This window comes from Homo sapiens, chromosome 6 (genome assembly GCF_000001405.40).
Source record: "Homo sapiens chromosome 6, GRCh38.p14 Primary Assembly".
Taxonomy (NCBI): Eukaryota; Metazoa; Chordata; class Mammalia; order Primates; family Hominidae; genus Homo; species Homo sapiens.
Window position 1 is genome coordinate 148,809,091 of NC_000006.12, and position 26,269 is coordinate 148,835,359.

The 26,269-nt window shown below is 39.4% G+C and overlaps 1 protein-coding gene across 7 annotated transcripts in view, besides 1 other annotated feature; it reads left to right on the forward strand.

Moving 5' to 3' along the window:
* The window catches only part of UST (uronyl 2-sulfotransferase), a 329,961-nt gene that overhangs the window by 62,061 nt on the left and 241,631 nt on the right, over window positions 1-26,269 (forward strand). The window lies entirely within an intron of this gene.
* Window positions 9,709-10,595: an enhancer, noted in NCBI's record as "OCT4-NANOG hESC enhancer chr6:149139935-149140821 (GRCh37/hg19 assembly coordinates)". NCBI's record gives its function as "activates a minimal SCP1, AML or CMV promoter by ChIP-STARR-seq in primed H9 embryonic stem cells {active_cell/tissue: H9 hESC(primed)}" and the evidence as "EXISTENCE:reporter gene assay evidence [ECO:0000049][PMID:30033119]".

A 26,269-nucleotide genomic window follows, 5' to 3' on the forward strand; every position in this document is an offset into this window, starting at 1 on the left:
CAGATGGGCTTGTCAGGAAACTCCTGTCACCAACTCAAACCTCAGCAGGGCCTGTGCCCTGAGCACAGCTCACTCAGGCCTTTGGCACTGTCCTCAGAGTTTCTCAGGGGAGTTCAGAGTCCTGTGGAAAAAGAGTAGGCAGTAGGGACAGACTTCTCGTGTTTGGGGATCTCAGAAGTCTTAATCTGTCACACTAAACCACACGGAATTTCTTAAAACCTTAGTTTTTTGTTTTTTTTTTTTTTCTCACCTGCTTTTCTTGCTGCCACCTCTTTCTCCCATACACTGTCAAAGCTGAAACAGTGCTTGTGTCCTTTCTTCCTCAGAGGTGCGTGTCACCCTTTGAAAGTCAGTTCAGTTGGTTGCCTTTCCATCTCAACACTCTAACGTGCTCAAAAAATTAGATTTTGTGGATTATCTGCTTTTCTTATTGTTAGGGCAGGAGTGGTGGCATTCTCTGGCAGTCTTCTGTATCCTTAGCAGAAACAGAACTGGGAAGGGTATTTGGAAAGTAGAAGCTAGGAGCTAGGTGTGCTGATTGCCTCTGAGGTATCATTGTTTATAGCAGTCCTACGTTTTCAGATTATCTCAACCTGCTGGAAGCTTCTCTGTCTTTTGAATACCTTTGCCATTCATGTACATACCCATCAGTGAGTCTCAGGGTTGGAAGACACCATAAATGCCACTTCATCCAAAGCCACAGTTTAGTCTCCAGTTCACATGTACTGCCTTGTGGCATCATTCCAGTGGTTGTCTTAATCTTTTTTTTAAATATTATATTGTTCAGCCCAGTGTGTATACATATCCATCCTCACCCCAATTCTGCTGCTGGATATAAATTGGCAGCTGCAACAGTATCATGTACAGAAAGTTGGTATCAATTTGAGAGGGAAGGAGTGTTCTCTGCTGGAGGACAGGGAGGAGACAGAGCCATCTTATCTGTTTTTCCCACATTTTAAAATGCATTGCCAAAGTCAATTTTAGGATGCAGTTGGGTTAAATTAGTAGCTAGAAGATAAAACCCAGTAGCCAGAAGCAAGCTGAACATTAAAACTTTGGGACTCTGACCACAGTATTGAACATTATGGCTGACCATCATGGGGTTAAAAGGTTAGGAAGAGAGTGGACCAGTAGCCATATATTTTTAGCCTGCTTAGAATTATAGTTGCCTTTGGAAATTTTTGGTAAACTCCCATAGATCAGGATTAGAATAAAGGCCATAAATATGGTTCAAAAACTGTACTTTCAACACTTCATTATATGGTTTGCTATTGGCTTTAGTGGTAGTGCATTATCTGAATTGATGTAAATAGTATTTAAGTTTGTCTTTTCCTATGAGTAATAAGTATTGTATGTAGATATTTCCGTTTCTATTACTTAAATAGATCCCCACAGTAGTTTGGTACATAGTTGCCATGCACATAATTACTGCATGGCTATTATTAGGAAAATTGTGTGGGTAAAATCCATCCTGCTATTTGGCTCTGTTTGAACCTTGATGCCCATCTGCTAAGCAATGTGGGGTCAAAATAAGTACCAGGGTAGTTCTGGCCTTGGCCTTTTTGGATGTGGGCTCAACTCTCTTTTCTCTCTACAGTCCCTAAAACTATAATACAAGGTGTCACCAGAGAGGAAGAGCAATTTTTTTTAAAAAGCCTATAAAATTATTACTACCAGCACCATACATTGCCAGTGAACCTGACTCTGGTGTTAAAACTACTTCTCAAATAGTATCCCTTCATATCTATCCTTATGAATTACAGATTATCAGCTAAAATACAAAATAATTCCCCAAAGAAAGTTGGGAGTATTGTATACTAATTAATCTGCATCAAGTCATAAAAGAAATTGACATATGTAAGGTGATGACATTGAGTTTTTCCAAGCTGGCATTTTCAAGTTTTATGAAAGGTACACCAGTTTATCATATACATTGATTTAATGTGATTATTATATCAGCTATCTATTGCCACAATAATAATAATGCTGTGTAACAAACAACCACCAAAGCCCACTGGCATACAAAGGATACATCGATTATTGCTCATGATCTATGGGTCAGCTGGGCAGTTCTTCTGGTCTTACCTGGGGGACTTACTTATGTGTTATGACTCCCCAGCTGGTTGGTCTGGGAGTAGTTGGCTCACCTGTACATGGTCCTTCATCTTCCAACAGACAAACCTAGGCTTGTTCTTTTAGTGATGCCTGGGTATTATGAGAGTGGAAAGGCAGAGGCTATATGAGGCCTAAGCTCAAAACCAGCACACCGTTTCTTCTCTGCACACCACAGCAAGCCACAAGTCTAGCCCAGATTCAAAAAATGAGGAAAGAGACTCTGCTTCTCAATGTCTTATAGCAAAAAGTATGGATGTCGGAATGGGTGAGAATTGGCGCCATTTTAAAAATTGGTCTCATTCTGGTTACTCTGGCTGCTTAGCACATTCCCTAAAACTTAGTGACATGAAGCTATCTTATTTTGTTCACAGCTTTGTGGTTTAGGCATTTGGGAAGGGCTCAGCTTGGCAGTTCTCATTTGGGAGTCACTTGGCTCACCCACATGGATAGCAGTTGGTGTCTACACATGGCTTTTGCAGCATTTGAGTAGTCAGACTTTCAGCATGACAGGTGGCTTCCCTCAGAATGAGTGTCCCAAGGGAACCAGGCAGAAGCTGTAGGACTCGTGTGATGCAGTCTTGGAAGCTGCGGGTCTTCACTTCCAGTAACTTCTATTGCTAACAAACAAGCCATTAGTAAGCCCGAATTCAAAGGGAGGCAAAATACATCTCACCTCTTGGTGCAAGGAGTGTCAGAGAGGTTGCAGGCATGTTTTAAAATCTCCGTTAATCTACCACGATTATTCATGGAGAGACATCAGTTCCCTCATTCTGCAATGTCAGGTCACAGTGCTATGATCTTTAACATTCACCATTCACATTAAATAGTGCATTTGCAATTTGTATTTGCAGATTTTTTTTTCTTTCTTTGTATAGTTCTGTATATTTAAAAGTAATCCAGGAAATGATTAAGGGTAGCTATTTATTTAATTCCAAATTTTCAGTGATCTTTAAGAAAATGCATACATGCATACTTTCTATATTGTTTAATTAGTGCATGTATCTGCACTCTGTTTTTTCAAGCCATTTTGTACACACATGCTTAGAGAAAACACAAAAATGCTTGTAATTTTAACAATATCCATGAGTTCATCAAGATAATATATCATAATTTGCTTAGCAGTTTCCAAGTTTGAGTACCTCTGTTATTATAATTACACTAACTTGATAGCACCACGTATTGGTTATTTATTGCAATGTAACAAATTATCCCAAAACATAACATCTTAAAGCAATAAACATTTACTATCTCATGCAGTTTCTGGGGGTCAGGAATCCAAGAGTGGCTTAGCTGCTCATTAGGTCTCTCATGAGGTTGCAGTCAAGCTGTTGCCTGGGGCTGCAGTCTCATCTGAGGGCTTCACTGGGGCTGGAGGATCCACTCCCAACTTCACTCACATGGCAGCCAGCAGGAGACTTCAGTTTCTGGCCACATGGGTCTCCCCATAGGGGTGCTCATGACATGGTAGCTGACTTCCCCTGGAATGAGTGATGAGAGAAAGAGAGAGAGAGCCCTCAAATGCAAGTCATGTTTTTTATAACCTAATCTTGGAAGTAATATAGTTTAACTTCTGCCATATTTTATTGGTCGCACAGACCAATCCTGATACAGCATGGGAGAGGACTGTTCATGGGTGTGAATGGCAGGAGGTGGGGATCACTGACAGGTCGTCTTCGAGCCTGGATACTACACATTGCTATAAACATCTTTCAAAAAATTCCTTTTTATTGGTAAATGATAAGGGGGCATTTACTTTTAGCATATCCCCCAATGCAGAATTATCGGATCATACAGATCAACAATTTAATAGTGCCCCTTTTTCATGTTAAGGTATTCATGTATATATACACACATGTATGTACACACACACATGTATTTACATTGTAAGATTTTCTTATGTGTTTGTATTTTATATTTTTATGTAATTATTCTTATGGTTTTAATGTGCACATAAAATTCTCTACATTTTACAAAGCATGTAGTTGCTAGCAAAATTCCAGTAAGTGCCCTCAGTTGGCTATGGTTTGGGATGGGAAATGAGAGAGGGAAACTGCTGAGTCCTATTATCTCCCAGAACCCTTTTTTTCTTTTAAATTTTGTGCCTGGTTTCTATAAATTAGGCCATACTGCCCCCAACCTAATATAAGCCATTGCCACCAATAGTTCCTATAACAGAATAATTTTTTTTTTTTTTGAGACAGAGTCTTGCTCTGTTGCCCAGGCTGGAGTGCAGTGGCACGATCTCAGCTCACCGCAACCTCCACCTCCCGGGTTCAAGTGATTCTCCTGCGTCAGCCTCCCGAGTAGCTGGGATTACAGGCGCCTGCCACCGTGCCTGGCTAATTTTTGTATTTTTAGTAGAGATGGGGTTTCACCATGTTGGCCAAGCTGGTCTCAAACTCCTGACCTTGTGATCCACCCACCTTGGCCTCCCAAAGTGCTGGGATTACAGAAGTGAGCCACCGTGTCCAGCCCAGAAGAAATTTTAATTGGCAAGAAACTTGACCATTACGAAATAGAATGTGTCCTTCACCATTTATGCTGAATTTCAGTTGTGCCATCTTTATATTTCTGAGGCAATGTAAAGCAAACCTGCTGTAGACCAGGATACTGAAAGGGCCATTCTATATCAGGCAATTTTTGAAGCCTTTATTACAATCTGTGAACTAATTTAATATGTTATAAATGAATACTCAATTAATAGTCATACATTTTGAGTCCACACCCCCCCTTTGCCATTTATATGAGATAAAATATAACTGTTTCATTTTCATGTCTGTAAAAATCTTTTCGGCCTTTCCAGGAACCCATCTGGATGCATTTACACGATGCACTTTCCATCATTTCAAAATTTATTAAATTTTATAGCACCTTCCATGTTATGGGCGCTCAATAAATTGCCATCACCAAGTTAAATGATGGGGTAATAAGGACAGGACTCTGGTTGTTCACACTAATGACACAGTTTGCATTGATGATGAAGTCCCCAGAACAGAGGGCAGGAGGAGCCACCTGTATGAGGAGTGTGTGGGGAGGAGCTGTCCTTTACAGCCCGCTGTAAGGATCATGCTGTACAAATAAACCTAACTGTGTGGGTGGTCCTTTCTCTGCCCCCTTCTGCTTTTAGAGACTTAGAAGAGCTGCCAAAGTACCTATAGGAGGTGTTTGATTTAAAAGGAAACACACCAGTTATGCCTTCTTGTAGGGGCATGTGAGCCAGTAGAGTTTGCAGCTGCATGGAGAGATGAAGCAAAACTCTGAACATTCAACTGCATTAAAAAAAAAATCATGCCAAGAGGGCCTTTGAGCAAGAAATTCTTGCAGATTTATGACACCCGATGCCTGAACTCTGTGTGTGACATCAGGGTTATGGCTCTGTAAGCTCTTAACCCTGCAGCTGACCCAGTCAGCTTCTGGCTGTACTAGGGGTTGATGCGGTTCACTGTGGTTGTTTGTAGACCTCAGAAAAGCACGATGATTATTTACAGATTTCCAGAATCTCTACTGGATTCTTTGCTTTTCCTTTCTCACAAGGAAACTTTCCAGGATACAGAGCACAACAGGATCTGAATGGCAGTGAATTCTCTTTAACATATCTCTTCAGGGTGATGGGGGCTTCACTGGTATAGAGGGGTCAGGGTCAGCCCCTGTTGTTTCTGCTTATGGGTTGGAGACCCCCTATATGTGCAAGAAATACACTAAGCCAACTTACTCCATTAATGATGATAGCATGGCTTTGTATATTAGGATGTGTGTGCATATGTGAATGATAGGATATACGTTAATAGTTTGTAATAATAAAAGATTGAAAGCAACATAAATCTGCATTAAAGACACTTATTAAAAAAACCGTGGTATATCCACACAATGGAATACTATGCAGCTATAAACAAGATGCACCAATATGGAATGAACTCCAACACTTACTTGTAAAAAGCAAGGTACAAAGTAGAGCATATACATGAATATTGATTGTCTTTAAAGAAAAGGAAAGAGGGAGAATATGCTTGTTTGCTTAAATAGTATAACATTTGTCTGGAAGGCTAGATAAGAAGCTAATAGTATTAGTTGCCTCTAGGGAGGAAACTGAGGAGTTGGAGGACACACATGGAAGGGATGCTGTTCACTGTACAGCCTTCTATGCCTTTTGAATATTGAGCTGAATAAATAAAATATTGAAAGAAGACAGTGTTGGAATAAGGCCTGGGGAATTGAAGCTTGGGGTGGAGGTGACAAGTGAACCCCAAGAGGGCAGGAAGCCAAGCCTCTGCCCCACTCCCCTGCTTTTTTTTAACCATACGGTCCCAGTGTAGATGTAGCTAGCACATGTAGATCCTCAATAAATATTTGTTAACTGAAAAAATACATACCACATGGAAAAATCACCCTTTAATTTTAATGTGTATATTACATACTTAAAAATATCATTGCCATTAAATATGAAAATTGTCTTGACCAGAAAGAAAAACAAAAACAAAAAAAGAGTTCAGAACAAATAGTGGTCTTGGTCAGGAGAAAATGAGTTCGGGTTTGGATACATTATTTTTATCAGTGTTTCTCATGTTTTTCCTATTCTGTGTGAACTCCTGTCTTCAGATTTAAATAGTTGATTATATGAACTGAAATTGTAGAATGGGAGAATTTTATTGCTAATCAGATTATCCTAGGCTTTGTGGTTAGAGACAGGCTGTGAGTCCTGAGTCTGCTTTTCTTTTCATTATACTCAGCTTCCCACCTTTTTTCTTATCTTCCTGTCTGGGACATTTCATTGCTTATGAGCTACAGACCTGATGTGTTTCATGCCAAAGCATAAACTCTTTAAGGGAGATTGGCTGTGACCTACACGGCACCCACATTCTGCAACACGGGATTGTTGGGTGCCTCAGGATGGGCCAGCTGGGGTGTAGATAGAGCACTTGAAATTACACACTGTGTTGTTTTCACTGGGATTTGCACACTTGAGTTAAAATTCTCAGATGTCAAGAAAAGCAAACCAATGTTTTGTAATGCACCACAGTCCCCTGATTGGTCTCAAGCAGTGAATTGCAGCCACATGGTCACCATGAGGAGGAGGATGAATGACAGCTGATATCAACATGATCATTTCAGGAGAAATATGACTAGACACCCAGAGAGACAAGTGGATTATGCAAAGAGGGGAACCCTTGCACCCACTTGAGAAGTGTGTCTCAGTTTGGGGAAGAATAATTAAATTCCAAATTGAGCATGTTACTGAAAGGAGAGACAGGATAAAAAGCAACTATCTTTAGACCCCTGATGAGGGCATTTCTACAAAGCCTAATGTGTAAAAGAAGTTAATAGAATTCTATACAACATAGTAAATAGCTGGTTCCTATTAAAAGAAAAGTTTTCTGAGAAACCAAAACCCAACAAAAGAGTCATGCCCTCAAGTATATGTGCATGGACTTGTGAGGAGTGAGTTGTAAAGTATTAAGCAATTAAGGTTTATATCCACTTACTTACATATAAGAAAACCAAAGCTGAGTTTAAATGGCTATGATATCGGAGAAACAGAGAATAGGATATGGAACATTTATTTCCTTTTTTTGTATTTAAAATTTTTTTTCAACAAACAGCTGAATGTTACACTCATTTGTGGAGTAACAAATGGTCCCTGGAATGAATATATCTCTCTTTTGAGCTTTCTATTTGGATAATAGAGTTGCCACAAACCATTACCCCCAACAGATGCAGTCCTATCTTCCCTTGAAGTCATGGCCCTTAAGGTCTTAAATTTGGCACTGTAAGAGTTAACAGGGAAAGCTGTAAACATCCAGATTCCCGGGCCCCACTCCTGGTTATCAAGATTGAGTAAATTGGGATTGGAGTCCAGAGATAGGAATAGTTTTGAAGTATGCTAGGAGATTTTGGTGCAGGTGGCACGTGGCCTACTCTTTCAGAAACCCCTTTCCAGTGTTTCTGTTTGTTTGTTTATTTTTGGTTTTGGTTTGGCTAAATAAAGGCTAACTTTCACTAGAAAGCAAAGCCAAGAAATACTAAAGCTGGGGTCAGCAAACCTTTGGCTGTGGGCCAAATCTAGCCCTTCTTTTATTTTTGTAAATACTGCTTTATTGGAACGCAGCCATGCACATTTGCTTAGGTATTGTTGATGAAAAGAGTCAAACTCTGTAAAATATTTGAAGAGATTTATTCTGAGCCAAATATGAGTGACCATGGCCCATGACACAGCCCACAGGATGTCCTGAGAACACGTGCCCAAGGTGGTCGGGGTGCAGCTTGGTTTTATACATTTAGGGAGACATGAGATTGAAATCAGGTACATTAAGAAATACATTGGTTGGGTTCAGAAAGTCAGGACAACTGGAAGGGGTGGGGGAGCTTCCAGGCTATAGGTAGATTTACATTTTCTGTTGACAATTGGTTGAGTTTATCTAAAGACCTGGGATCAATAGAAAGGAAATGTCTGGGTTAAGATAAAGGATTATGAAGACCAGAGTTCTTATTTGCAGAGGAAGCCTTCAGGTAGTACGCTTCAGAGATAATAGGTTGTAAAGTGTTTCTTATGAGACCTAAGGTCTGTGTTGAGATGAATGCTGGAGAAGTATCATGAGGCATGTCCTACTTCCATCACGGCCTGAACCAGTCTCAGGTTAAATTTTAAGAGTGCCCTGGTTGAAGAGGAAGTTCATTCAGACAGATGGGGGACCTTAGGATTTTATTTGTAATTTACAGTATAGTCTGTGGCTGCTGTCACACTACAATGACAGAGTTGAGTGATTGCAAAAGAGACCGCAAAACCTAAAATATTTACTATCTGACCCTTTACAGAAAGTTTGCCAACCACCTGCTAAAGGATGAACATTTACCTGATGTGTTACATTTACTCCCCTTAGAACAAATAAGACCTTCACCAGGAGACTTTGATACTTTGCTAGTCTGTCGGAAGTCTGTCTCCAATAGCCACATATGATAAAATGAGCTAGAATGGAGCACGTTCAAAACACAAGATTGAAGTGAAGTGGCATACATCTTGCAGTCGACGATGTGTCTTAGGCCACTGAAATAAATGATTTCATTTTATTTGCCAAAGTGTGACTTGGGGTGAAGGAGACACCTGGCCTGGCCTCGTGCTAGATTGGACCCTCGATGTGTACACACGACTTGTTCTAATATCACTTTTCATTGGAAGTAGACAGGTGCAATTAAGTAACCTAGAGAAGGGGGTAAAACACAGGTCTTCATTTTCCCATTGAGAGAGAACTCTGTCCCTAATTCAGTTGGTGGGAAATGGATTTCTTGGCTTTGATAATTAAGCTGGCAAAGCAAATTTGGTTCCAACATTTTAATGAGCCAGTGTGGGTGGCCAACAAATTGCAGGTTCAGACGTAAATGTTTCAAACCTGGGTGGCTGGCTTTTAACCCTGGGGCAAATTCTATGATGGTAAGGAAATTTTAGGCTGGTAGCCAAGTTCAAAGAGTCTTTGCCAAATATTAAGAAAAATGCCTATTTGAGGCAATTTTAAGTTATTTGAGGACAGGATTATGTTGTTCATTGGATGTGATTGAGATGATAAATTAACATCATTTGAGTCCACTCAAATTGTATACTTGTGAACATTCATACCTGTGTTTTTGTGTCTGAACTTCATACACAGAGGATTATCTTGAAAGAGAGGGAGACATGAGAAAGGAGAAAGTGGTCTTGCTCCTCTCTTCCTGCTTTCCAGTGCCCAACTGCTAAGGTATTCAGGCCTGGTTTTCTGTCTGGGGATAATCAAAATCTGGGTTCTTATGTAATGTAAGACCACTCTTTGGGGAAAAAAATGAGTTCAGACCTGAGAAATGAAGGGTTAATACTCATTGAATTTTCACTTTCATGGAGAGGCTGCATTTGAAGCAAAACCCCGCTGGGCTCTGTGAGCGAACTTTGCATCACAAAGGTAGGGCAGATTTGCAGAAGAAAGTAATAGATTTCAATTTAGGTTGCTTTTCAGCCTGAAAAATAGTCTGAATTCTATTACTGATCCTGTTAGCAGAGATAATAATGAAATGCAAAGCAAGTATGGTTTAAATGTTAAAAAAAAACAAAAACAAAACTTGTAAAAATACCACTGTGGGTTCTTGATTTATGCTTTCTCATTACTCAGTAGGACAAAATACGATTTGACATAATGTTCACTGTGTGGTTACCCTGGGGTCAGAAAACTAAGCCCTGTTACCTAATACTTCTTACATTTGCAAAAGTAATCACGACTGTGACTCGAATCGGACTGGAAAATCTATTGACTTAGAGATAGAAAGATATTAGGAATCTCTTACGTTACTTTTTCTTATTCACCTACTGACAACTTATACAGACTTTGTAACTTTTCTGATGAAAGGGTATCCAGGTGGATAATTACGTATTTTATGCTCTTAAACAAGTTAAGAACTGGAGTTGTATTTTTTGCTATTGTTTTTAAAAGTCAATATGTTGTGGCTGTTAAAAAGCATTATTTTGTGTATGTATCACTAATAACTTATGTTAGCACATAATGAGTATGACCATCAAGATCAGTAACACTCTCTTCTTTCATTGTACCAAACATAATGTAGCCTGCCTGGAATCTTTTTGTGTATGAAAAAGAAAAAAATAGCATCTTCCATTGGAAGTTCTGGTTAAGAGTAGCCTTATTATCTACACCTCCTTCCATGAAACTCTGCTTCTGATTTCCTAACTCTTCTGGGGGTTTATACCCTTCAGCTTTTTCCACGAGCTGCTATTTCTTTCTAGAATGCTCCGAAGGCCCATCTGTACCCATGGGGGCCTCTCTCTCCGGGTGCCAGCTTAGTTTCAGGTTGTTCACATCGTATTATCTGTGTTCCCCTGTTCCTCTAGGTAGCTAAAGGTCAGGTCTGGCTCCTTTGTGTTGCAGAGCCTGGCATGCAGTAGGTGCTTAGTGACAACCGTTTGAGGATATCGACATACTAAAATCCTCTAATCTTTTTCCTTTAAATATACTTATTCAGAAATAATTACAAACTTATGGAAAAATTGCAAGAATATAACAAAAAATTCCCATATGCCCTCACTCAGATGCCACAAAACTCAAGGTAATCATACTTGTTTTCTCTCTCTCAAGACACGTGTGTGTGTGCATATACACATTCTCTTTCTGTATATCATTATTATTTAATTTTCTGAACTATATGAAAGTTGGTTGTTGACACAGTGCCTCATTTACCTCTCAAACTTGTTCTCCCTCTAAAAATCTGTTTTCTAAAAGATTCAGAATTCTCTTTTACCTAACCACAGAACAACCATCAAAATCAGGATATTAACCTCGATATAACTCTACTATTGAATGCATAAACCCCATTAAAAATTCACTGATTATCCCAGGCCGGGCACGGTGGCTCATGCCTGTGATCCCAGCACTTTGGGAGGCCGAGGCAGGCGGATCACGAGGTCAGGAGATCAAGACCATCCTGGCTAACACGATGAAACCCCGTCTCTACTAAAAATACAAAAAAAAATTAGCCAGGTGTGGTGGTGGCCGCCTGTAATCCCAGCTACTCAGGAGGCTGAGGCAGGAGAATGGCGTGAACCTGGGAGGTGGAGCTTGCAGTGAGCTGAGATCGCACCACTGCACTCCAGCCTGGGCAACAGAGCGAGACTCCATCTCAAAAAAAAAAAAAAAATCATTGAGTATCTCAATAATGTCTTGTATAGATAGATCTACAATCTGATCCAGGATCATGTATTACATGTAATTGTCATGTAGTATTTTTTTTTAATTCCTTTTTTTTTTTTTTTTTTTGAGACGGAGTCTTACTCTGTCACCCAGGCTGGAGTGCAGTGGCATGATCTCGGCTCACTGCAACCTCCACCTCCCAGGTTCAAGCAATTCTCCTGCCTCAGCCTCCCAAGTAGCTGGGATTACAGGAGCCCACTACCACGCCCAGCTAATTTTGTGTATTTTCAGTAGAGTCGGGGTTTTGCCATGTTGGATAGGCTGGTCTCCAACTCCTGACCTCAGGTGATCCACCTGCCTCAGCCTCCCAAAGTGCTGGGATTACAGGCATGAGCCACCGCACCTGGCTGTATTTTTTTTTTTAAGTCTAATCCAATAACGTTGTAGAATTACCTTGTCCCTTAATTTGGTAGTGTTGGATGTTTCCTCATAGTTAGATGCAAATTATGCTGTCTTTTTTGTAGAAATAAATGGTGCAGAAGGGAGGCTGAGTTCTCAGTGCATCATGTTAGCAAGTACGTGAGGCTGACTTGTCTTATCACTGGTGGTATTAACTTTTATCACTTCAATAAAATGGCATCTGCCAAGTTTCTACATGATAAATTCAAGTAACAAGTATTTGGTGCTTAGTAACTAACAGGTAGTTAATAAATATTTTATAAGGAGCCACTAAAAACTATGTAAATATTCTGTTCTTCATTAGAATTTTATCTACCCATTTTAGCATCCGTTGATGATTCTCGTCAGAATCAATTATTACCAAATGGATGCCATTATTACCAAATTGGTGCCAAATGGTGATTTTCTACCTTCTCATTCTTTGTAGATTTATAAGTTGGTATTCCACTGTGAAGTAGAAGTTTTTCTCCCCCGTTTACTTATTATTCATTCATTTATCTTTATCAGTACAGATTCATGGCATCTTACTTGATTCAATGGTCTATATTCCATTACTATCAGCATTTATTTTGATGCTCAAGTTTTCCCAGATTTGGCCAGTGGGAATCTCATCAACTTGTGTCTTGTGTTCTTTCTACATGTCCCCGTCATCCTTTGAGCGGTTCCCTTACTTTATAATAAAACAAGATGTTTCAGACTCACCTTTTATGTTCCCTGCACTATAATCAGCTATTTCTTTAAGGCTGTCTGGTTTTTTTTAGTAGAGAATAGTGTTTATTAACCAAGATCTGGGTGCTGTGTTTGCACATTGCTACTGGAAGGTTGCTGCTTCTAGGGAACAGAGATAGAAAAATATTTGAGTGTATACACGTGCACACACACGTCTATATCAATTTCTAGATGTCTGTCTATACTTGAAAAATCTTATGCTTACATTGGTATTCCAATCCTAATCTAACACTCTAGGTTTGTTCTACTCTTTCCTCTTTCCATATTTATAACTCCCTCTTTGAGAAGAAACTGACCTATGTTGTTGTCAATATACTTACATTTTTGCTCAAGCCTCTGTGTACACCCAATTCTCACACTTATGGGCTGCCTCCTTTGCTCTGATCCACTGGCCCTGACCCCAAAAAGACGTGATAATTCTTAATTGGCAAGATAGATGAAACTGAAGTAAGGAGAGAAAGAGACTGAATGTATAGAAAGAGAAATGAGAGAGAGAGAATATAGTATTCTGCATAGTCTGTAAAACCAAGCCCCATGCATTGTCTCAAGGCAGGTTTTTGACTTCTACAGCCTCAGTAGCCATGAGGTATGAAATATCTCTGTCGGGGAATATGAGTAATTTGCCATTTCTTCAATGATACAAACAAACCTGATTTCCCTTATTTTGGGAGGGGGTTTGTGATCTCAAATGTGAAGCATAGTTAATAAGGATAAAACGTTACTTTTGCATTGAAAGCAAAAATCTTAGTGGAAGAACTTGAAAAGGCAAACTATATATATTATGGATAGTGCAAACATTTCTGTGTGTGTGTAAAGAATAAATAAGATTTTAATTGTTTTTATTAATAAATTAAATAACCTAACCAGTAAAAAGTGCTAATAGAGCTGATGTAATGTATTTACAGCTCTTACTTACCTGGCTCTTAAATGACTTGGGTGTGTTTGTATTTGTGGGTAAGTGGGTATATGTGCACATGTGGACACACACTGAGAGTGGTGTGTTTCCCCACATCTGTCTACATCACCAGAGAGGTAGAGATAATTTCCTTTAGTTTTAGAAGAGGGACTTGGCAGAGACTACTCTTTTAGTTGAAAAATGTAAAATATCACATGAAGTGTTGATTTTTGGAGTGCTTTTCTTGCATAACTACATGCTTTTTCAGACTACAGAAAGGTTAATGACAAAATCTGAAAGAATGATTTAGAAAGATTTTTATCTAAATAAAGCAAACTAGAAAGAAAGGAAGTTTATCACTGACATTATAAAAGTTACCCTTGGGAAAATAGTTACCTATAAATTAATCTGTGGCCCTTTGCTCTAAGAATGCCTTTTATATCTCCAGCTAACATCAGATCTTCTTGAAATCAATAGTAATCTGATTGCCTCCAGAGAACAGTTGCCCTCCTGTGTTTTAAGCCACAGAGGAACTGTACATTTTTGTGATAAGCATAATTTAGAGGAGAATTATATTTTCTTTCTTAATCTATTACCTACTGGTGCTGCCTTATCCTGTTACTCACATTTCCTTTTCATCATTAAGTTGATAGCACAGAAAAAGAAATGTGATATTAGTATTGGTAGCAGTGTACCTTAATTTGGAAGGGTAGGAAATAATAGCTTTCTTAAACTGTACCTCATGTGTTACAAAGATTAGCCCCCGTGTCTAGGGTATCAGTTAACATTGCTCTCTGGTGGATTTTATCTTGTGTTCTGTAGACTGCGAAGAGATTTTTATAGAATTTTAGATGCAGAATGAATGAAAGGAGAAAAATCACCTTCAGTTGATGATGCAGGATGTTCGATGCTATTCCTCCTCCAGGTAGACTTCTAGTCTTCCACTATTTGTCTGCAAGCAATTTTCGTGTCACTTATAAATAATCAAAAAACGGAATCCATGTTAGGTTTAAAGAAAGGATTTAGGAATCTGAGCACGGCTTTGACTGATACAAGGAGATAACAGAAAAAGCTGAAATAGAGGAAGGAAATGAGAGTGGAGGACTAATAATAGCAGGAAAATTTGAAGATATAGTTAATGTTCTGAGAATTTTTCCACTGCAACTCAACTATTAGGCTTGTTAGGAGCATCTGAGTGTATTTAGCTTCATGAACTTCAACTCATATTTCTGGACGCCTAAGTTCAAGTTATGTTGAAGAAGCATGCTCAGATGGTCTGGAGAAGTTAGGTGTTGAGGGTTGAATCACAGGAATGTGTTGGATAACCCTGGGTGTTACCTAGCTTTGAAAAGAAGATGATTCAGGCCAAGATCTATGTCCCAGTCACTAGGTGATTGTGCAGTATAGGTACAGTAAGAGACATTTCCTTGGCCTCCTGCTCAACAAGCTCAGAGCCAATGTACAGTACTTGGTCAGCAAAACAAGAGTCTTCTTTGAAGACTTAGACTGTGCAGTATAAGAAACTTGCTGCTATTGGAGAGCTTTGGAGATCCACCTCTGGGAGGGGTGGATACCATTCTGACACATCCAATCACCATCATCAGTAGAGATCACTGATACATTGAAGAGGTGTGAGCTACTGGGAGATGGTTTTTGCTAGGAGGTTTACTCATTATTTATTTTCACTACCGCTGAGTCAAATTCAATGGGGGTAGATGGTATTTTCTTTCTTTTTTTTTTTTTTTTTATTATACTCTAAGTTTTAGGGTACATGTGCACATTGTGCAGGTTAGTTACATATGTATACATGTGCCATGCTGGTGCGCTGCACCCACTAACGTGTCATCTAGCATTAGGTATATCTCCCAATGCTATCCCTCCCCCCTCCCCCGACCCCACCACAGTCCCCAGAGTGTGATTTTCCCCTTCCTGTGTCCATGTGATCTCATTGTTCAATTCCCACCTATGAGTGAGAATATGCGGTGTTTGGTTTTTTGTTCTTGCGATAGTTTACTGAGAATGATGGTTTCCAATTTCATCCATGTCCCTACAAAGGACATGAACTCATCATTTTTTATGGCTGCATAGTATTCCATGGTGTATATGTGCCACATTTTCTTAAGTACAGAATCTGGTCAATAGAGTTTCCTGGGTCACTTGAATCATGGTTACCTGTGGCATGGTATGGGGGTGAGAGGTGGGGTGACACATCCCCTTTCTAGACTTGAGAGACAGGCAGTGGACACCAAAAGTGGGAGGGATGTGGGTTGGCAGTCTGACTAATATGTCCCCTGATGATAGGCCAGCACATTCTGTTATTTCGGTTGGAGGCTGAAGTTATTTTGCTGGGCAGGCTGTATTTAAATTGCTTGTTTGGCTTCAGTAGTGGCAAAGATAGGAACACAGGTCCTTTGTGCATCCCCTTTGGAGGAGCACATTGTTAATTAAACAGTGGGTGCCTACTTACCCAAAAAAGCATTGAAGTTAGATACAAAACATTTTTAAGCCTAGGACTTGAGCCATGTAGGCACTTAAAGAGAAGTCTAATCCTTGGCATAGCTGGCAAATACTTTATGGCTTATTGTCTGTACTTTCCTGAGTCTCAAGCACCTCCTGGAGTTCACAAGCTATCTGAAATTGCCCAGGAAGAAGTTCTGGTAATGCATTATGGGACCATCCATCTTTCCACGGATCTGCTGGTATACAAATCTCAAGAGAGCAAGATATTGGCGTAACATTGCCATGAGCTCAACAGAAGCTGACTCAGCTGCCTTTATGCCCAAAGGAAGAGTTCTCAGCCTAATAGATGCAGAAGAGAGTGACCAGCTTCTCCATGTTTTCCCATGGTGGGGGGAGGAGAAGGCTCTAGAATAATGTGGCATCTGGGAAAAGAGGAAATACAGGGAAGGTTGGCCTCAGTGTGAATTTCTACAAGGGGGAAATACCTCCCTCATTTGAATTATGAGAAGCAGAGTTGTAGGTAGGGGTGTTGCAGGAATAGGGTTGAGGAGGGGGCAGATAGAGCTATTAAGAGGTGTCACAAAGAGACACTGAGAGCTGCTAGTCCTGCAAGATATCATGGAATGAGTCAAGATTGGGACCTGGAAATCAGAGACAAGAGCATGAATTTGACAGTGGATAGATAAATGAGTTCTGTCTAAGAGCATCCTGTTTTGTTTTGTTTTGAAATGGAGCCTTGCACTCTGTCACCCAGGCTGGAGTCAGTGGTGCAATCTCCACCCACTGCAGCCTCCGCCTCCCAGGTTCAAGCCATTCTTCTGCCTCAGCCTCCCAAGTAGCTGGTACTACAGGCATGTGCCACCATGCCGGGCTAATTTTTGTACTTTTAGTAGAGATGGGGTTTCGCCATGTTGGCCAGGCTGGTCTTGAACTCCTGACCTCAGGTGATCCACCTGCCTCGGCCTCCCAAAGTGCTGGGATCACAGGCATGAGCCATGGTGCCCAGGCTCCTGTTTTTATTCATCATGTTTTTTTTTTTAAATGAATTAACTACATAGGTTATAGAATATTCACTTGATTGTCATTATACAAAAATGACATGTACTTTTTATATTGAATTGTTCACAGTTTTGTTCTTCTTTGAACACTATTCTTCCTAGATACCTAAACTTCATGAGCCATTTCAATTTTCTGGGCAATCATTGGCATGGTCTAACTTTCAACTTTATGTACCTGTATTAGTTTTCTATGCTGCTGTAACAAATTGTCACAAATTAAGTGGCTTAAAACAATCCACATACCATGGGCTAAAATCAAGGGGCCAGGAGGGCTGCTTTCCTTTCTGGAAGTTCTAGGGCAGAATCTGTTTCCTTGCCTTTTCAGCTTCTAAAGGGCTGCCTGCATTCCTTGGCTCATGCCCCCTAATACCATCTTCAAAGCCAACAAAGTCAGGTTCAGTGCCTCTCATGTTGCATCTTACTGACCCTGCTCCCATCATCACAGCTCAGTCCCTGACTTTCTGTTCTGCCTCTCTGTGATTACATCGGGCCCACCTAGATAATCCAGGATAATCTCCTGAAGTCTCTTTTGCCATGCAAGGTAATACATTCACAGGTTCTGGGAGTTAGGCCATAAACATCATTGAGGGCCATTATTCTACCTACCAATAAATAAGGGCATTGTTGATACCGCCTGAAATGCAGAAGATGCTTGTTGTTCTATAGTGCATGTGGTTTATGTATGACATAAAGTATGACTCACTTTGGGGTACGCTGGCAAATGGACTTTTGGACAGTTCCAATTATCATCAGAATAGATTTGCTAATTTAATTCTACTTTTTAGAGTGGAATTAGATTCTGAAGTTTTAAAATTACGTGAGATTTGTTCTTCTAACAGAGGAGTCTGTAGCCTTTCATTGAAAAAAGAAGAGTCTGGGGCCGGCCGCGGTGGTTCACACCTGTAATCCCAGCACTTTGGGAGGCAGAGATGGCCTCACTTGAGGTCAGGACTTTGAGACTAGCTGGACATCATAGTGAAACCTTGTCTCTACTAAAAATACAAAGATTAGCCAGGCATGGTGGCGCATGCCTGTAATCCCAACTCAGGAGGCTGAGGCAGGAGAATTGCTTGAATCCAGGAGGTGGAGATTGCAATGAGCTGAGATCACACCACTGCACTCCAGCTCGGACAACAGAGCAAGATTCTGTCTCAAAAAAGGAAAAAAAAAAAGCGTCTAAACTCCCGAAGAGAGGATTCAGTGAGAATATTAGTCATGATCCTGGCTTGCCATTTTCTTAACTTTGAAATTATTCTAGTTTGTAAAAAAAAAAAAAAAAAACCAACAACAAAAACACTAATTGTGAATTAGATTGTACTCTGTATTCATTAAAAGAAAAACTTGACATGATATTTAGATGAACATATGCGGTTTACTAAAACAGATGGTAGAGAATTTTTACCCTCAAGCATGTATTTTTAAAAGTGTGTTTTTGTTTTTATGACTTTTTGAAGTGATTGGATTAAGGAGAGTAAGAAATTCTTCCTATAACAATCTATTTTCATTTGTTCTTTTTGGAGAAAAAAAGCTTTTTCATAGAGGTTGTCAAATGTTGCCATATGTTTAAGAATGAATTTGAACCATTCACTTTCTGAATCTTAATCCCTTCTGAATTATACGTAATTTGACAGAAGTCAAATATGTTGACTTCTGTCAAATATATATATTTGTCAAATATATCTGTCAGGATATATGACGTCTGTCAAATTACGTATTTGTTCAACTTAGGTCTGATAGTGGATGCTCCTAAGTACTTTGTTAGTCTATATTATTTATTTATTTATTTATTTATTTATTTACAAAGAACACTATAATTGTGCTCTTTCACTGGTTTTTATTTTAATGCCTGACTTGAGGTCAAGAATTATGTGTAGAAAGAGCACAGACAGAACAAAATCATAAGTTAATAATGCCGTTATATTACTGGAAAAATTAAGCATGCAGAGCTAGTTATAGCAGTATAATATTTTGGGAAAATATTTAAATTATCGTATGCTCCTTAGGTTTTAAAAACCTATGTTTCATTCACTTAAGACAAGCAGATAATGTGCTATTAAGAGCACAGACTCTGGAACCAGATTGCCTGGGTTAAAATTCTTGGCTCTCACTTTCTAGATTTATGTCCTTGGCAGGTTACTTGGCACCACTTGGTTTCACTTTTCTCACCTGTAAAATGGAGAGAGGACTAAATGAATTTATGCACATAAAACACTTGGAGCAAATAAAAGTATTTGCAATGATGATGATGATTGTTTATTATTATTATTAAGCTTTGGAGCAAAAGTATTCATTAAGTAATCATTACTGACCACCTACTAAGTATCAGACACTTTTCAAGTCTTAATGAATCATTAAATTAATCAGATCAACATCAGAAACAATTTAATGTTACAGTAACATTTTATAACCAATAGTACATTGCGGTTAACTTTTCATTAGTGTTCCATTTGAATAAGTCAGCTGAAAACAGATTTGCCTCTTCCTTAAAAATTAGAAAGCACATGCTATTTATTTGGGAGGGAACAAGCAGGAATTGCTCAAAATATACATAACCTACCAGAAACACAATGGCACCAATTCCTTGGAGTAAGAAGTGGAAAATTCATTTAAGAAGAGATGTGCTCCAGATCTAGCTGAGGGTACCCAGGGACAAAGTGGACATTTCAAGTTAAGCCCTGGGATGGATGGATGGATGGATGGATGGATGGATGGATGGATGGATGGATGGATTTTAGTGACGTTTAAGATTAACCATGTTTCACATTGCTAGAGGAAAGAGGTCTTAATGTACGTCTTTATATGGGCGTGCACCTCTGCACCTGGGTCCGCTGTAACCATGCATATGGCTTTGGCCTTGCTCATCCCACACAGCCATGTGAGCAGGCACCCTCTGCACTAATGACCCTCTCTAGGCCCAACTTCCCTATCTGGAAAATGCAGAAATCTTCAGCCATGTGTGAGCATCATTGTGAAGCGGGCAGAGCACATGGGCTAATTATATATTGTATGAGATTCCAGACACAAGAATTAAGTGTTCTCTGTGCTGTTCAGTCTACTTCCAAAATCCGGCTCAAATCCACCCCACTCTCACCATCTCTACTTGCCCTTTTGAGGCCATCATTTCTCTGCTGGACTCTGCACCAGCCTCTCCCTGTGATCACTGTGTTCTCCTGGTTTCATGACTCACAGACGAGTGTTCTCCTTATTTTTACCCTCGGTTTGTTTGGAATGGTTGGGGGTTCACTTTTATATATTCAGAAACACTTGTTTTAATACTTTGTTCTTTGTAGTCCTCTTCTTTCTAATAGTTACTCATAGCTTCAATTCTCAAAACACAAAACAATTTTACCAACCCATCATTATGTATTTCTCTACTTGCTTTGGTCTGACCTAGGGACTATTATTTTGGAAGGTGTTTTAAAAAGTAATTTCATAGTTTGTGACTTAAAGTGCAAGAACATCCTGGGGTTAGTAGCACAGGAAAAGACTTGCATATCACTTTGTTAACATTTAAAAACCACCAGGCACTACACTTAAAAGATGGATGATGAATGCCACATAAAGCCTACAACTCCTGAAGCCTCTTGTCCATGAGGCTGGGTGAGTGAAAAACAGCAAAACCTGAGATCTGTGATTTTTAAGGTAATTGGAGAAACCAATACCTCCCTAAAATAGTTCCCTTAATAGAGTGACTTACTGAATTGCTCAAAGTTCAGACATGAGGAGGTGCTTTGTAGAATTTGCTGGAAACTGGACCACACCCACCAATTTCTTGCCAGTTTGTGGCAAGTGGGCCAGGTTTTGTCTGGCAACATGATGCATGCATTCAAAAACTGTATTTTCTATTATCCTTTCATTTCTACATTTATAGTATAACTAGTTTAGAGCACAAAAGAGATATGGCAATTAATATGGGAAGTGATAGACCCAACACATATTCTATCCAATTCTATCCCCACAAAGACGACCGGACTAAGCAGCAGCCCCAGGGTCTTGCCGCATCGTTTCCTTTCGGGAGCACTCACCCACAATGTGTTGGGTGCCACAATGCACTGAAAATGTGACCACTGCCCTTGATCATAGAACTATGGAACCTTAGTGCTAGATGAGACCTTAGAGGTTTTCTAGTCCAGTGGTTTTTTGGATTAGAAACTAGGAAGAGCATTACTTGGGGACTGTCAAGTAAAAACATTTTTAAAAATTCTACCATCAAGAAATTACGCTAAGTGAAAGGAGCAAGATGCAAAAAGACACTGTTTTATGATTCCACTCATTTGAAGTACCTAGAGTAGTCAAATTCATAGAAACGAAAATAAAATGGTGGTTGCCAGAGACAGGGGGGAGGAGGAAATGGGGAGCTATTGTGTAATGTGTAGAGTTTCAGTTTGGGCTAATGAGAAAGTTATGGAGAGGGATAGTGGTGATGACTGCACAACATTGTGAATGTATTTAATGCCACTGAACTGTCCACTTAAAAATGGTAAATTATATATGTATTTTGCCACAGTAAAATTCTGCTTTCATCACCGTTGCTTGAAAGAAAAGAAATTTTTACATTGAAAAGAAAGGAAAATTAAAAGAAAGATGAAAGAAAAAGAAAGAAAAGGGGGGGGTGGGAAGAATCAATCTTGAAGGAAATTCCTTTAAAATGATTAAATATAACTTTAGGAAGCAGATCAACACATTGCCCTTTGTGCCCTTTGCTTTCGTCTTTCTCACAGACTAGACCAGCGCCGACTGTTTCGCAGCCACATACCAGCATCTGGAAGCTACTGTAACTTCTGCGGTACAATTCTCTCATTTTGCAGATGAAAAAATTCAGGTGCAGAGAGAGGAAGTGTCTTTTCCACAGCCACAGGGTGTATTTGTGACTGGGACAGTCATTTCATGACTCACAGACAAGTATTCTTTTTACTTTATTATTATAGGAAATTCGCCTTATAGTTTAGTTTTGTTTTATTAAGTCTTTATTGCTATTGGCTTCAGATTTAGTTATCACTTATAGAATCCCTTCTGAGTGCCAGGCATTGTATTTTCTATTTTCACTTAGCAGACATTTATATAGTGCTTATCGGAAGCAAGACACTGTGCTAAGTGCCCGACAAATAAGAAGTCATATAATCCTAACAGTAACCCTCAGAGATGAGAACAATTGTTATCCCCTATTTTAAAAATAAGGAAAACTAGCTGAGTGCGGTGGCTCATGCATGTGGTCCCAGCTACTCGGCAGGCTGAGGCAAGAAGATTGTTTGAGCCAAGGAGTTTAAGGCTGCAGAGAGCTATGATTGTGCCACTGCATTCCAGCCTGCACAGAGTACAGCCCTATCTCTTAAAAAAAATAAAAAAAAGAAAGTAGGTGGGGTGGAACTGAGACCCAGATTGCTTAAATACTTTCCCGAAGTCATATATAGGGCTAGTAAGTGGTGGATTCCAATTCAGTTTTGACTCACTGCAGTTAAACTCAATTACCCAACCTGATGATAAACAATGGGTCTAATACTTGTAAATACATTTGGTAGAATATTAATTGACTTTACTTATTTATTTATTTGAGACAATCTCTCTCTATTGCCCAGGCTGGAGTGCAGTGGCGCAGTCTCAGTTCATTGCAGCCTCCACCGCCTGGATTCAAGCGATTCTGCCTCAACCTCCTAAGTAGCTGGGATTGCACGCATGCACCACCACGCCCAGTTAATTTTTGTATTTTTAGTAGAGACAGGGTTTCGCCATGTTGGCCAGGCTGGTCTTGAATTCCTGACCTCAGGTGATCCACCTGCCTCGGCCTCCCAAAAGAATATTAATTGACTTTAAACCAAACACCGTAAATGTGTTCTTCCTGACTCTGAGATGTATCTGAGGATATTGTGAGATCTTTATTGAAATCATCCAAAATGGGATGCCAAGTTTTGGTGTGCATATTAATTTTTTTTAATCCTTGAAAAAACTATCAACTGAACATCTTGCTTATGGATATAATTTACATGTCTTAGTATGAAGCCCTTAGGATCTGAGTACAGCACAAGTGTAATTTAAAGATGTAGCTGAGACAGACCAAAAACTGATCAGCATCCCATAGAGTGAAATAACCATGTGCCGCGTTAGGTTGGGGTGATGGTGTCAGGACTATCACACATTGAGTTGGTTATAAACCTGATGGTGATTTAGTTGTTTGGAGGAGCATTTTCATCAGAAGTCCAAGTAATCTTGCATTGGAAAGTGAATTAGAAAATGCAAATCCAGTGGCATGAGCCTTAGGATACAATACCTTATTAGAGTTGGGATACCCAGTGGTGCAGTGTAGTCAGTTTCTATTTGGAGCTCGGTCAGATGAGTTTTAGTTGATATTTAGGTAAGGACTCAAAACTCCTGAAGTATTATATTCTTTGATTTGTTTTTCAACTTGCTTCTTAAAATTAACAAGCAATGCCAAGACAGTATTGTATTTCTATCTTTTCTTTGTCATAACTGTCAGAACAAATAGCCCATAGAAAAGCATGAGAAAAAGCCTTCATCTCAAATCGTTAATAACAAGAAAAGAAAGTATAGGAGCTCCCTTATCCAACACCATTTGATGGAATCATTCTTGACCCCCTGTCCTCCTGAGAAAAAGCACCAGATCATTCATGACCTTCTCACCACTGCTTCATTTAGGACTATGAAGACAGTATCATAGGGTATAATGAAACAGTTATCTGCAATGATAGAAAAATAGTATAAGCATGTTTTTTAAAATTGTGGAACCTGACCAGGCGCAGTGGCTCATGCCTGTAATCTCAGCACTTTGTGAGGCCAGGGCGGACGGATTGCTCGAGTTCGGGAGTTGGAGACCAGCCTGGGCAACACGGCGAAATCTGTCTCTCCAAAATATACAAAAATTAGCCAGGCATGGTGGCATGTACCTGTGATCCCAGCTACTTGGGAGAATGAGTTGGGAGGATCGCTTGAGCCCCGGAGGCAGAGCTTGCAGTGACCTGAGATCGTGCGACTGCACTCCAGCCTGGGTGAAAGAGAGAGACCCTATCTGAAAAAACAAAAACCAAAAAACGAACCCCAACTGTGGAACCTATAGAAAGAAAACTTAGCCTTGGCTTTAAATGAGGAGAACCAGAAAGTTCCAGGGAGAAAAAGTATATGTTCAAGATGAAAAGGATACCTTGTGGTCAGGGAAATTTAGGTGGAGGACAAGCAGGTTATAGATGTTCTAGTTTTGCTGGAAATAGTGTCACCTTTCCAACTGCCCACCTATAAACTTCACAGAGTTGTTCACTGTCTAGATCTCCAGCTCAGAGAAGCAGAGTGATTAAAATTCAACATGCATGAATCTCAATATTATTTTTGAAAAACATGCCTTTAAAACCACCCATTTCATCAAAAAGGTTAAAGGGAAAAACATTTCTCAAGATCTAAGCACAGTCTTAAGGGCTGGCGTAAACCGTGACAGTTTAAGAATGAAGTGTTTTTCTTATCAATATGAGCATTCTGTGAAATGGTTGATTTTGACAGAGGTAGTTGCTGTGTTGACCTTTTCACCGTCTTGTTTTTTGTTCATAAATTGATGCTGTTATTGAAACAATATGGGTAAGAGTCTGTCTTAGATATGTAATTTTTTCCATTTATTGTCTCCATGGTTTTACTTTGTTTAACAGATTTTAAAGACTTCAAAAGAATAGCACTAATATACCCAGGAGAAAAAGTCACATAAAGTTATAAGGTTCATTCCATTTTAACCGTGAATACATTTAAACAAAGATAAATAACATCCAATGTCAAAATAATCTTAATTCCTTGACCACATTTTAAAAATAAAACAATTTATTACCATTTAGTTACATCTTACAGGAAAACCCTTAGATACCAGTAGGTAACCATTAGATTTTTCTAGGTGAAAGTAAATCATTTCTGAGGAAGCATTCTCTTTACCAAAGCAGCATTATTTCCAATAAGGAAGCCACTCATTCATTTAGTCCTTGGTTTATTAAACAGTTACTGAGGCTGGGCACAGTTGCTCATGCTTGTAATCCCAGCACTTTGGGAGGCCAAGGTGGGCAGATTGCCTGAGCTCGGGAGTTCAAGACCAGCCTGAGCAATATGACGAAACCCTGTCCATACAAAAAATAGAAAAAGTAGCCAGGCATGGTGGTGCACGCCTGTAGTCCCAGCTACTCAGGAGGCCGAGGTGGGAGGATTGCTTGAGCCTGTGAGAAAGAGGTGAACCGAGATTGCGCCACTGCACTCCAGCCTGGGCAATAGAGAGAGATCCTGTTTCAAAAAACAAGAAAGCAAACAAACAAAAAACAGTTACTGAGGGCATACAATGAGCTAGGCACTATGCTATGTGGGGGGATTTTTAAATTTGAAAAATACAGACCCTGCTATCATGGCATCCACACTTTTAAAGATAAATTTCTTCCACAGTTTGCTAATAGAAAACAGCCATTTAGCATGACCTATTAATATGGAGTGCCCAAAGTATACAAATAAATAGTCAATCTTTAAGGCAATATGTTGCTACCAACTCTAAATTTTATCCCAAGAAACTTGAAAACTTTTTATTGAATTAAATAGGAATATAAAACATGTTATGATCCCTATGCAATATACTAAGCCCTCTGGATCCTCAGGTTCTGTGTCTGTGGATTCAGTCAACCAATGATCAAAAATATTCAGAAAAACACAATAAAAAATAATAATATAACAATAAAAATAATACAATTAAAAAATTACAGTATAACTATTAATACATAGCATTTACATTGTATTTAGTACTATAAGTAATCTAGAGATTATTTAAGGTATACTGGAGGATGTATGTATGTTATATGCAAATACTATGCCATATAATATCAGGGACTTGAGCATCCTTAGATTTTGGTGTCTGTGGGGTTCCTGGAACTGGT